Source organism: Homo sapiens, chromosome 5 (assembly GCF_000001405.40).
Source record: "Homo sapiens chromosome 5, GRCh38.p14 Primary Assembly".
In the NCBI taxonomy this organism is placed as follows: Eukaryota; Metazoa; Chordata; class Mammalia; order Primates; family Hominidae; genus Homo; species Homo sapiens.
The window spans coordinates 56,483,696-56,497,536 of record NC_000005.10 but is presented as its reverse complement, the minus strand read 5'-3'; positions in this window follow the sequence as shown (position 1 = coordinate 56,497,536).

Here is a 13,841-nt window from a genome sequence, read left to right as displayed (position 1 = left end):
GCTGGGATTACAGGCATGAGCCATTGCGCCTAGCCGAGTCTAAATCATTTCTAACATCTTTTTATTTCTGAAAGTTTCTGAGTCTGAGAGACAAAACTTAAAAATGCAATTTCAGGTTTTTGGATTACCTGAACTCCCACTTTGCCTGGTTCATAAGGAATGTCCATTTGGTTGAATGGAATGTCTCATTTTGGAGTCAAGTGATCAAATTCGCAATTCAAATGAAAGATTCACCTGGCTCATCTTCACAAGGCAGTGAGATATTAAGGGGTGGCCCAAGGTGTCATGGGGGTCTCCTAGTGACAGATAATTGAGGGGGAGTCCTTTCAGCCCTAGTCCTGCTGTGGGTGCTCCCTGGCTGTAGTCTCATTTGCAGTAGAAGGAAAGAGATAAATCAAGAAAACAAATAAAGGCATACTTCTGAAAGCTTTAGATGACAAAAGAAGTCAAGTTAAGAGGCAGGATGTCTGCACTTTGTTTCTATTTATGGAAGACACAGTTTAAACAGAGCTCTCCATTCAGCATCCGTCTGGCTATTAAAATTGCCTTCCAAGTTATTATCGGCAAGGAAATGGACAGCATTTAAATCTTTCCCTGTAGTGGGTTTGTATTTGGAGATGTTTCACATGTGTTTAATTCACTGATCAATTTTACCTTGTCGAAACAGAGAATGGTCTGTCAAAAACAGGATGAAGCTCATTAGTGAGATGCAGGAGATAGCACAATTGAGGGAGAATAAACAGACTACCCAGAAAAGAGGAAACAAGAGCCTATTCAGGAAGCAAGTGGGAATAGCAGAAAATGATACAGTAGTCATGGCAGACCAAAGGCTAATGGACTGTACTGCTACTTAGTAAATGATACTGAACAGGAGGGAAAAATGTCGCTGATTGCCATGTGATGGTAGTTCATGGTCTGGGGCCTGATAAGTCAGCAAAGCAGATTAACGGATTTTCTCCATTCTAGATGGCATGTGATTTTCCCAGTTAAACATTTCTGAAGTCAGGTCTTATCATAATTGATGTGCAGATCTTATAAGGTAGAATTTTCCCTGCTCTTCACAGATGTAATTGACGATGGGATGGTTTATGACAAAGTGTAAGAGAGAGAAATATGAAAGTGGAGTCCAAATAATAATTAAAAAGTCAAGATATTACATAGCACAAAAAATCCAGGCTTAAGATTTTAAACGTCATTTATTTTTGGACTGGATTTTACCTTCATGTAATTCAAAATTCAAGTTTCAAAAGAAATATGGCAAAAGTCTCCCTCCAAATCTTGTTCCCCAAATGTTCAGTTCTCCCACCTGAAAGCTATGTTACCAGTTTCTTGTATATTCTTCCAGAGATGGTTTTATTTATATGTCAGTGAGGATATGTATAATTTTCCCCTTACCTTTTCAAATGATAGAATACTACATATGCTTTTCTTTCTATACTTCCCTTTCTTTCAATGCAACAATATATCTTGGAGATTATTCTGCAGAACATCAAGAGTTTCCAATTCCTTTTTTTACAGTTGTGTAATGTTCCATTTTATAGAACTACAGTGATTTATTTAGCCTGCCTCCTTAAAATGGACATCTAGTTTGTTTCTGATCTTTTGCTATTACTAACACTATGTTAGAGAATGACATTGTATTCATATCATTTGGTACATGTGTGAGTAGGAGAAATTTTAGAAGTGGAATTGCTATGTCAAAAGGTATGTTTATTGGTATATTTGATAGATATTGTCTATTTGCCCTCCATAGAAACTGTACCATTTATATTCCTGTTAACAATGTATGAAAGTGTGTATTTCTTCACATCCTTTTCAATATTGTGTTATAATTTTTATCTATGAGAGTATCTATTTTTCTACATCCCTTTCAGTATCATGTGTTATCATGTTTATCTTTGACACTCAGGTAAAAAAATGGAATTCCAATGTACTTTTTAAATTTTTAAAATTTAAATATATTTATAAAGATATATTGATCCTAAGTGTGTAGCTCAATGTCTTCACAAATTAAACACACAATGTGATCAGCACCCAGGTCAAGAAACAGGACAGGACTGAGAGCCCAGTAACCCCCATTTTATACTTCTTTCCAGTTCATGTAGTTTTTGCTTTTCTCTCATTATGAGTGAAACTTAACCACCTTCTAAAAATCATCTATTTTGAAATAATTGTAAATTGATTTCACAGAAGTCAAACATCTTTTCTTGTTTTTAACAGCCGTTTGTATTTTCTTTTCTATGAATTGTATGTTCCTATCTTTTGGGCATTCTTTGATTTTTCTCCTTAATTTGTAGAGGTTATTTTAGAGATAAGGACATTTCAGTCCTCAGTAGGAAAGATATGAGCATTATGCTGAAATTTATCAACCGTGGTTGACCCCTGAGAATGGATATTAAGCATTTGGAATTTTAGTCAGTACTGGGTAAAGCAGCTCAATGATCGCTATAATCAGCCCGGATAGTCTTGCCTTGCAGTTGACCAGAGCCTGTGTAACCATTGCCACTCTCTCTTTTAACTTGCCAGCTTGACCCTGTCCACCTCCATCCCTAGCCCTTCCCTCTGTCACCTCCCACCCCAAAAGCCTTGGATAAGTAGGTTCTTCTGTCAAGTGAGTGATCGCTCAAGTATCAAGCAAATATTTTTCAGGTTACCAATAGAAAACCTGACCAGATCACAGGAAGGACCCCATTAAACAGGAGTATCTGAGAAGACGCTGGGGAAACATTTGGAAAAGAGACTCTTCTAGGAGACAGTTGCCTGCTCCCAGATCACTGGCGTCTTCCCAGCCTGTCCCATCCAGCTCAGCCCCCCACATAAAACCACAACGTTCCTCCTCGCCTGGTTCATAAAGGGCCTCCCGGGGACTGTCCTTACAGGAGGGGAGTTTCCCTTAAAAGCAAGTAGGAGTTTTCTGCTGCATGTTTGTGCCTTTTTTCCCCCACTCCCTCCGACTGGACAGTCACCTCACGCCACATGCTTTCCAGCAAACACTCATCACCCGATAAATCATGTGACCCCTTCTGTTTATTTAGAGGTGCTGGCTGGCTAGCTGGGGCCTCTCATCCAGCCCCTGCTCTGTAACCAATTTCAGAGTGGTTTTCATCAGAAAGGGGAACTTCTGAGAACCAGATAAGGAAAACTATTCATTTGCATGGAAGAGCTCCCTAGGCCGTTCCCTGGGGTGCCAGGAGAATTAGGGAAACCTCAAACACAGTTTATGAAGCTGCCAAAAAGTGTGTGCTAGAGAACACCAGCTCCGATTAGTTCCTACAAAAGATGGAGTAACTGTAGGAAGTCTCCTCTCAAATGTAATTTGAGGTTCATTTTTGACCCTCATTTAGCGTTTTAGATTCTGGAATCAACAAACATTTTTGCTGAGTGCTTTGGCAAAACCTCAGGTTGAACTATTTTAACTCTGTTTTTTTTTTTTTTCTTTTCTTTAATTAAGAGGCTACTTATAATGAGAAGAAGGTGGAGGCTGCGTTTGACCAAATGAAATGCCTGGCTCCAAGGGGCAGGACAGCGTATCTCAGTGTGGACTCGGGAACTACTCAGTCAGTATGGCCTGGGCTGGCTGAACATAAAACAAGTTCTCCAGGCCCCATCCCAGGCCTGAGGAATTCGAATCGCAAGAAGTTAGGCTCCAGAAACATGCTTTTAAACCAAAAAAGCTCTTCAGGCAAATGTTACGCTTATTGACATGTAACAGCTCTGCTTCTAAAAGCACCGTTCTGAGGAACCAGAAGTGGCTCATAGCTTATTGAGCCATGGACCATCAACTGTAACATGAAGAAGTTCCAGTGTGGAGAGAAAAGAATCCTTAACCTTTGGTTTACCTTTCTAGGTCTTTCGATCTCCCTTTAATCCACTCGATGGCTAGCTTTTCAAGATAAATGGAAACTTTATTCAGTTTGTTTTTGCTTTTAAGTCCTTGGCCACTGGGAGAGTCCTTGAAGGGGAGATATCTTGTGAAAGAGGGAGGGAGCACTGAAAATGCATCCGCATAACAGATTCGTGGCTGTGCAGATCCTGAATGGAGTAGGGTGGGTGGGGTAAGCGGAGGGAGAGAACCCAGTGTTTTTCTAGGCAGTTATTCAACCAAACCATTACTTCAAATTTCCAGAGGTCATTTTAAAGCCTGGTCCGACTGTTGCCTCAGGACCCAGTTTCTTAGCTTTGAGTGAATGAATTGAGGACAGAGAATCTGTTACCAGTGACAACTGCCTATTACTAAAAGCCGTAGGAAGGCCTGACAACATCAAAACCTCTTCACCCAAGCTGATCTTGGAGGCAAGGTCACCGCAGCATTACTGCCACGCAGGAGCTTTCCTGTGGGCTCCTGAATGCAGCCCAGGACAGTGACTGAGCAGTGGCTGTGTGGTGCCCCAGGGACACTGAACACTAGGCTTTGGGGGGGCAATCGTCAGCAGAGGTCCCCCACCTTACTCACGTTTGGCACCAAAACAGTGAAGCACGTTTGCACAGGAGACGATGAGGGCTCAGACATTATCAGTGGTGACCAGCACGGATGGAAAACCACAGGGTGGACCACAGAAGACCACACTGTCCTCAGTGTTCAGGACTTCAAAGATTGTATAATGGAAGCTGCTTTTAGTGAGTAATAGAATACCCAATTAGAACAGCCTTGAACATCAAGGGTTCTTCATGGTACACATCAAGAGGTTCCAGAGAGGTAACCTCAGCAACATAACACTGTCAGGAGGCTGCGGCTTCTTGGTGATGCTCTCCTTTCCCCTCCTAACAACAAGATGGCTGCTGCTGCAGGTCCAAGCATCGTGCCTCACATGGATGTGCTCAAAAGGAAGGAAAGAATGGAGTTTTGCCTCACATGCCTTTGTTTTAATTAAATAGGAAATTCCCCTCTCACACTCTCCTCCTGAGGTAGAAGGTGGGGCTTGGATACTGGACCAAATTGAGGACTAGCTAAAACACGGACAAGGCAGAAGCAGCTTTCCATGAGACAGCCCACCAGCATGCCATGTAAGTTTACCATCACTATGGCAACAACAGGGAATTACCACTCTTTCCATGCCAATGGCCTGATGGTCCAAAAGTTAGCACCCCTTCTCTGGAAATTTCTGCATAAACCACCCCTTAGTCTACATGTAATTAAAAGCAGGTATAAATATGACTGCAAGACTGTACTGAGCTGCTACTCTGGACACACTGCCTATAGGATAACCCTGCTCTGCAGGAGCAGTCACAGAGCTGTGACACTGCCGCTTCAACAAAGCTGTTTTCTTCTACCCTACCACCGGCCCACCCTTGAATTATTTCCTGGGCAAAGCCAAGAACTCTTATAGGCTAAGCTCCACTTGGGGGCTCACTTGCCCTGCGTCACTCCCACCCTATGGAAGATCCCAGAAATCCACAGTCACATGCCCATCCCACACTGCAGGTGGAAGGAAAGGTAGGTTTGCTGCACAGTTTCAGGTTAAACTAACCACGTTCCATTTGCCTGAGCTTGGGGAAGGGCCCACCTTCCCTGAGTATGTTGCTGTCCCACAGTTGAATAAAATCAAGATTTAAGCAGCAAAACAAAAAAGTTCAATGACTTCTAAACAGGCCATGGAAGATGGACAAGAACCCTGCCAAAAGGATCTAGCATTATCTTTGGTAAGGAGTTCCTTCCTAATGACCAAGAATAAATTTCCTGCCCTGGAGAAAAGGGGATGCAAAGTAAGATTTAATTTGATTTTAGAAAATTGAGAAGTGGCATTTTTTCATCTGAGTGTTTGGTTTGGTTTTCTGGGGATAAAACTTGGTTTATATCTCAGAACTTGGGACGTCTGAGTAAACTCTAGGCTTGTCAAGAGGTCCTGTCCCTCCAGCTCCCCAACAGGTCTTCCCTGCTGATGTTTCTCCATCAGCCCTTGTACTGCAAGAAATGTGGGTCTGGGTCAGACATGTGTGCATGCATTGGCATTTTCCACTGAGGGGTTTCTAGTAATTTCTTAGGGAGTTTCTGAAACCTCCAAGCTCGACTTTTTTGTTGTTGTTCTTTTTCTTTTTTGAAGTTAATAAAGCCTGAGTAGTGAATGAGGCCATCTTTAAAGAGTCGTGTGTACTCAGCAACTTTGGTGTGTTAGTTTGTCTTCCAATCTGTCTCACTCGGGGTGCTTATCTCTTAGAAAGGGAGATTATTACCACAGAGACTGGGCTGGAAACCGCTTCGCTGACAGGTTTAAGAGTCTTAGCAAAATAAACAGCCGCAAAGGCAAAACTGTGTGCAAAATGGCAGGCTTCATTCTCTCTATGTGGCTCAGCTGGGTAGAGAGGGAGCTGGAATCAAAACAAAACAGACAGCATCTCAACAGCACTCTGAGAGGTTGAGCTTCACGTGGGAGGGCTGTGGGGTGGGGGCGAGCGTTGGCATTTCCTTCTGATCAAGTAGTTCTCTCCTTTTATAGAGACAATTGCTAAACTGGCAAGCCCGTCACCATACCTGTTGATCTGGTTTATGATTCATGCCTTAAAAAACCCTAGAGTTGTGATAGTTCCTCTTACTGTTTTTCATACCCAGAAAGCTATACAAGTAATGGAATTCTGCGGTTGAGTTTCTCTGGAGCTTGCTTTGCGGGACCAGCTGAAGATCCTTTTCCTTGGATTTGGCAAAATCCAAACTAGAACCAATGCATGCAAATTTGCAAGCAACTTGAGAACAAGAGAGTATCATTTATTTTTATCTCTCTCTTCCCAGCACCTCTAGCGCAGTATTGAGAAAATACTAGGCACTCCATAAATGTCAATTAAATGATCGGATGAATAAACGGATAACTTTGCTGTCTCATTGTAACAGTACTCTAGAGTATTGGGAAGTAAAAGTGTTTCCACATATAAATTTATTCTTCTTGTTTTAATACTGGTGGCAAAATTTCCAGCTAACTCAGAACAAAAGAGCAAATTAGAATGCTTAACTCTTACCCCAGGATCTATTAGGAAGGAGAGAACCTATTTAGGTAGGACTTTGTTGATTGACGAACATTCAAGGACAATTAGAACATTTGTCAATAATTGATATTTTGCTATAATTCTTCCACTTTTAAAAGTGTTTGAGAGATTCAGGTAGAACCTGCCATCTCTTCCCAAAGTTCAAGAATTCAAGGCAGAATTCAAGTGACTTTTGGAGTTGAGGGAATAGGTGACTCCATCTCTTTTTGGGACAACTAGAGTTTGCATGTTTCTTTTTGACTTAGGTCAAGAAAGACCCTTTTCAAAGAGTGCAGAAGGCATGTAACCTTAGGAGTTTAGGAGTTCAGCAGGAATGTGAATCCTGACTCCACATGTCACTATGTGACCTGAATGAGGGACTGTCCTTCTCTAAGTCTTAATTTCATCATCCATAAAAGGGGCTCTAAAAGACAGTTGTGAGGATTAAATGGGATGATATGTGTAAAGCATGCAGCACAGTGCCTGGCCCTCCATAAGCTCTTATAAGAGAGCCATCTGTCATTTTTATTATTACCATCACTATCATCATCACCAGTTTCCTGTACCAGAACATTGTACAACAAAGAGGTTTGGATCAATATCATTTTAAACCTCTTTTTTGAGAGCAAGGGTCCTGAATCCATGAAAATGTGTTTAACTTGGTCATCGACCTCAATTTGCTTGGTTACTGTACATGTGGGCTGAGGTTAAGTCAGTCCAGGCTAGATTCCCAGGAAGGCGATGCACAGCCCAGAGTGGACACTGTCTGGCCTCAGCAGCTCCTACTAAATGACAATGCTCCTCCACCTTAATTTTCTTTTCAAAGGGGCAAATTAGAGAACATCTGATTACAGTCACACTGCTTACTTTTTAACTACCCATTTCTTCCAAAAAAATAAAAAAATACAATGAAAAATTAAAAAAAGACATTATGTTTAAAGATGACTTTTGCTGGAAACCACCAACCCAGCGTTGGAGAAGTAGCTGAGCCAGTGGAGAGACCCTGTAGCCTGACTGATGTAGATTCAGACACCAGCTTGGCACCTTCTGGTCATGTAAGCTGGGGCAAGTCACTTGACTTTTCGATGCCTCCATTTCCTTGTTTGTAGAATGGAGATAATAATGTTTATCTAACATCTCTATGGGTTACACGTGGTACGTACAAAGCATTCCTAGCAAAGAGATTAGGTGCTCAATAAAAGTGGTAGCTGGTTCCAGGATTCTGGTTGTTATTCAGTCCCTGGTTGTTATTAAATCCAAGACTTAGGAAAAATGGCTCCTGGAAGCATATTAATAATGATGCTCAATCTACTTACGGTGAGCCAGGCAATCCTCTACACCCTTTACATATATTAACTGGTTTAATTCTCTCAAAATCCTATGAAGCAGGTAGTATTATTACCCCATTTTACAGATGAAAGAAATAAGGCATAGAAAGTCCACATACCTTATCCAAGGCCCCAAAACTGGTAAATAATAGCAGGTATCATCTCAGGCAGTGTGATGCCAAAGTTTCTGCTCCTGGCCACTCCTCCAGGCTACCTCTCTTAGGTGGCCCAGACAGTCACAGGGTAGAGGACAAGCCTGCATCTTCCCCACCCCATGGTCTGTTGAATGGCCTAGAGGCAGAGACATTCCCCTAATGTGCCCAGAATTGGTGGATTCTTGGTCTCACTGCCTTCAAGAATGAAGCTGCAGACCCTCGCAGTGTGACAGTTTTTAAAGATGGCGTGTCCAGAATTTGTTCTTTCTGATGTTATGATGTGTCTGGAATTTCTTCCTTCTGGTGGGTTCGTGGTCTGGCTGGTTTCAGGAGTGAAGCTGCAGACCTACACAGTGAGTGTCAAGGCTCTTAAGGTGGTGCATCTGGAGTAGTTCGTTCCTCCTGTCTGGAGTTGTTCATTCCTCCTGGTGGGTTTGTGGTCTGGCCAACCCCAGGAGTGAAGCTGCAGACCTTCTCCGTGAGTGTTACATTTCATAAAGGCAGTGCGGCCCCAAACAGGGATCAGCAACAGGATTTAGTGCAATGAGCAAAAGAACAAAACTCCATCGTGGAAGAGGACCCCAGCAGGTTGCCGCTGCTGGCTCGGGCAGCCTGCTTTCATTCCCTTATCTGACCCCACCCACATTCTGCTGATTGGCCCATTTTACAGAGAGTTGATTGTTCCATTTTACAGAGAGCTGATTGGTCCGTTTTACAGAGAGCTGATTGGTCCGTTTTGACAGGGTGCTGATTGGTGCGTTTACAATCCCTGAGCTAGACACAGAGTGCTGATTGGTGTACTTACAATCCTTTAGCTAGACTTAAAAGTTCTCCAAGTCCCCACCAGATAAGCTAGATACAGAGTGCTGATTGGTGCATCCACGAACCCTGAGCTAGACACAGAGTGCTGGTTGGTGCATATACAATCCTCTGGCTAGACATAAAAGTTCTCCAAGTCTCCACCAGACTCAGGAGTCCAGCTGGCTTCGCCTAGTGGATCCCGCACCAGGGCCCCGGGCAGAGCTGCCCGCTAGTCCCTCGCTGCTGACCTGTACTCCTCAGCCCTTGGGACCAGGAGCCACGGAGCAGGGGGCAGCGGCTGAGGCCTGGCAAGAATTCAAGCACTGTGTGGGCGAGCTGGCAGTGCTGGGGGACCCAGCGCCCCCTCCGCAGCTGCTGGCCTGGGTGCTAAGCCCCTCACTGCCCGAGCCGGTGGCGCCAGCTGGCTGCCCCGAGTGCAGGGCACGCCGAGCTCACACCCACCAGGAGGCACGTAGCTGCGGTTCCCACCCACATCTCTCCCTCCACACCTTCCCGCAAGCAGAGGGAGCTGGCTGCAGCCTCGGCCAGCCCAGAGAGGGGCTCCCACAGTGCAGTGGCAGGCTGAAGGGCTCTTCAAGAGTGGCCAGAGCAAACGCCGAGGCCGAGGAGGTGCTGAGAGCGAGCAAGGGCTGCTAGCAGGTTGTCACCTCTCACTAGCGTGTCTTAAACAAGGTCAGAGGAAGAGCCACACCATCCCATAGGAATTTTCCAACTTCCCACTAGTCCTATTGGGACTAAATCTAAGAAAAATGGATAATATATCAATAGCAATTTAAAAATTTCTTTTGGAAGGAAAAGTCCGTGGCGGAAGTCCAAAGTTCTGAGATAAGAGACCCCAGTCTTATTTTGGGCCATATGGCTTAATGGAGAGCCTCCTAACTTTAAAGTCAAATGAACTCATAATCATATGTTTGTCCTGATATTTTTTGGCTGTGAGACCTCTCTCAGCCTTAGTCTCCTCAGCTGTGAAAAGAGTTTAATAAAACTTACATGATGGAGTTGTTCTGGGAATTAAATGAGATAATACACTGAAATTCCCTGCATAGTACCAGAAATACCACTGGTTCCCAGTGAAGGAACATCATACTCTCTAATATGGTTTGGCTTTGTCCCCACCCAAATCTCATCTTGAGTTGTAGTTCCCATAATCGTAATCCCCATGTGTCATGGGAGGGATTCAGTGGGATCATGGGGGTGGTTACCCTCATGCTGTTCTTGTGATACTGAATGTCTCATGAGATCTGATGGTTTTATAAGCAGCTTTCCCCCTTTGTGCTCAGCTCTTCTCCTTGCTGCCACCATGTGAAGAAGAACATGTTTGTTTCCCCTCCCACCATGATCGTAAGTTTCCTGAGGCTTCCCCAACCATGCTGAACTGTGAGTCAATTAAATCTCTTTCCTCTATAAATTACCCAGTCTTGGGTAAGTCTTTATTAGCAGTGTGAGAATGGATTAATACACTCCCCCATTTCAGCCACCTTGCATGATGACTTCCAGAGCAATTATTCTCTTAATAAGCAATTGAGATTTTTGAACCACTCCACCTGTCTCTGAAATTGGGACCCATCAGTGCAGAGACTAGACATTCTGCTTTATGACCACAGCCTTAAACTTTGTCCCTGGCCCTTCTGGCTTCTACCACCTCTGACATCTGCTGTCAGCCTGACCTCTGCCAGGCCTGGCATCCATTGACTCTTCTAACAGTGCTCTACTTCTTTCAGGGGCAGTGGAGAGGAAGGTTCCATGGCAGGGAAAAACTTTGAATATAGAACTAGGGGACTGGCCAGGGCTTAAGTTCTGCATCTACTACCGACCTAGGAAGGTAACTGTCTCTTTGCCATTTGGGACTGAATTCCCTCATCTGTAAAATGGGGAGGGGAAAGTATTAGAGTAGGTATTACTGAAGCCACATCTAGGCCCTCTTCAGACTAGTAACTTCTTCCCTATCTAGGTCCCCAGCACCCCGAATTCACCAACTGGGAAGCTTCATGGCTTTATAGCCTAGTGTTACTGGTTTTCTGGAGAATGAAGGAGAAAGACAAATGCAAAACAGCATTGCAAGATGAATATCCCAGGCCTCTTGAACTCGCTAATAAAATAAAATCGTGAATCAGTCTCTCTCACCCAGTCCCCAAAAAAAGAACAAATCTCTTTTGAACTTCCTGCAGTGGCAAAGAAAAGCCTTTACCTTCAGAGCCAAAGCTATTTGTATACTGTCCCAGTGTCCTTTCACCCAGAGCTCATCGCACAGACAACAGCAAAGGCAAATGAAAAGACAAGCTATTGTTTTGTTGTATTTATATCCTGATGTAGGAAACAGCACAAAAATACCATCAAGGAAACTCAGTAAGTCTCTGCTCTAGGGTATGTATACAGTTTTGGTGCCAAAGGTAGCCGGGCCAGATGTTGGAGGACATGGTCTCCCTGAAAGAACAAAAGAGAAGCATGTTGGGATTCTACAAGGGAGGAGAAGAGCCAGAAGTAATCACGCAGGTGCCTGCCCAGTAAGCTCTTTCAGAGGCCTGGTGGCAGCCTTCTCTCTGGGTGTCAATCCAGACGCTGCTGCCTGACAGCTATAAGGTCTTGGACACAAATGTTATCTCTCTGTTCCTCAGTTTCTTCATCTATGAAATGAGACTAATAACAATGCCTAGTTCACAAGACTTCAGTGGGAATTAACAACTTAACATATATAAATCACATAGAACAGTGCCAGGTATATACGAAGCACTCAGTATTAGTGAATGTTCTCATTATATATATATGTCTAAGAAGTTCTGTGATCCCAGAGCTATAATTGTAAAACTTTACTGCCATTTTAGGGAGCCTGAGGTGCAGTTGAATTATTGTTGGCTCTGATACTGGACAAACTTGGATTCTGTTACTTACCAACCCTGATCTGGGCAAGGCTGCACCAACAGTGGGGTCAAAGTGGCTCAAGGCTTAGGATTGCTCAGAAATATTGTCCTGCTCCAGGGAATCTAGGGATGCTATATTGTCTAGACTTGTGGGACCCCCTTTAAGCCTCTTTCTTCCATCATCATAGTCATCTTCACTATCATAAGTTATCATTCTCATTATCATCATTATTATGATCAACTAGTTAGCCTCTTTCACTTACCTTAATGTTTTGTAGGTTCATTTATGTTGTATTTTATATATAATATATGTTGGATTATAGTTTGTATCAATACTTCATTCCTCTTCATGGCTGAATACTATTCCATTGTATGTACATACATTTTATTAATCCATTCACTCATTGATGGACAATTGAGCTGTTTCCACTTTTTGGCTACTGTGAACAGTGCTGTTATGAATATTGATGTACAGATTTTTGTTTAAATATGTTTTCAGTTCTTTTGGGCATATACCTAGGAGTGGAATTTCAGGGTCATATGGTAATTCAATGTTCAGCATTTTGAGGAACCACCAAACTGTTTTCCATAGTAATGGTACCATTTTACATTCAGCAGGACTTTGATGTTAAAAAAAAAAAATAGTCCTGGTGGTTAGAATTTTCTCCTTCCTGACTCAGTGGAGTGGAGGAACTGCCCAGTGGATGGGAGGGACAATAAGTGGGGGCCTGGACCTCTCTGCTGCCTCATTAATCCTCAGTTGTAGGAAGGCACTAACTGGGCTCTCTGCAAAGCACATTTTACTAAACTAATGGGGAAGCAGGAGGGGGATGGGAGAGAGGTGGACAGAAGACTCTGGAAGTGACCAAGTCTAAGCAAGAAGCCATTATATAGACCGTTATGTGTAGACGGTCTTGAATCCTAATCACTTTCTTCAAACAGAACCGTGGTATTCTTGTGCATTTATTTATGGTAGTAATTGCCCACAATCTTGGTGTCTGATGTCCTATAGCAACTTGAAGGGGAGCGTGTGTCAGAACCCCTTTAGAGGAGCAGGGGCCGATCAGGTTTTCCAGGAGCACTTGCCATGGAAGCCAACAGGTTGGGCAAGGAAGTTACTGGAGTGTCTGGAAGAGCAGGACATTAAGGGAAAGCACAGGGGGTTGGAGCCAGGGAGGCTCCGCCATTAGATGGAGAGAGGCAGAGTGCAAGCAGGAAATAGAGCAAGCCATTAGGAGTCGGAGGCCAGGTCTGCAATCCTATAAGGCAAAGACAATGGGTTCCGCAAGAGGCATTGACCATGGATGGGGCTGGGTGGCCAGAGCTCATTATTCTTACGGGTTGTCCCATTGGCTGTGAGGACAGTCAGAATGGAAGAGGCAGAGTCTGGGCAGGCAAAGAACAGCCTTTCTCAATAGGTTTCGGAGATAGCTTATTAAATGTGTGTTCAGGGGATTTTTAAACTTCACCCAGATATCTTTTAAAATATATTGATATCAAGAATATATTATAAAACCTGAACCCTGGCAAATGCAAAGTCTCCCTCCTTTGAAAATAGTCACCATAGTTCATGTTCTGTCCTGTTTTTTTTTTTAAATATATAATTTCAACTTTTATTTTAGATTCAGGGGTACATGTGCAGATTTGTTACATGGGTATATTGTGTGATATACATGTGATGCTGAGGTCTGGGGTAAAATGATCCTGTTACCCAGGCAGTGAGC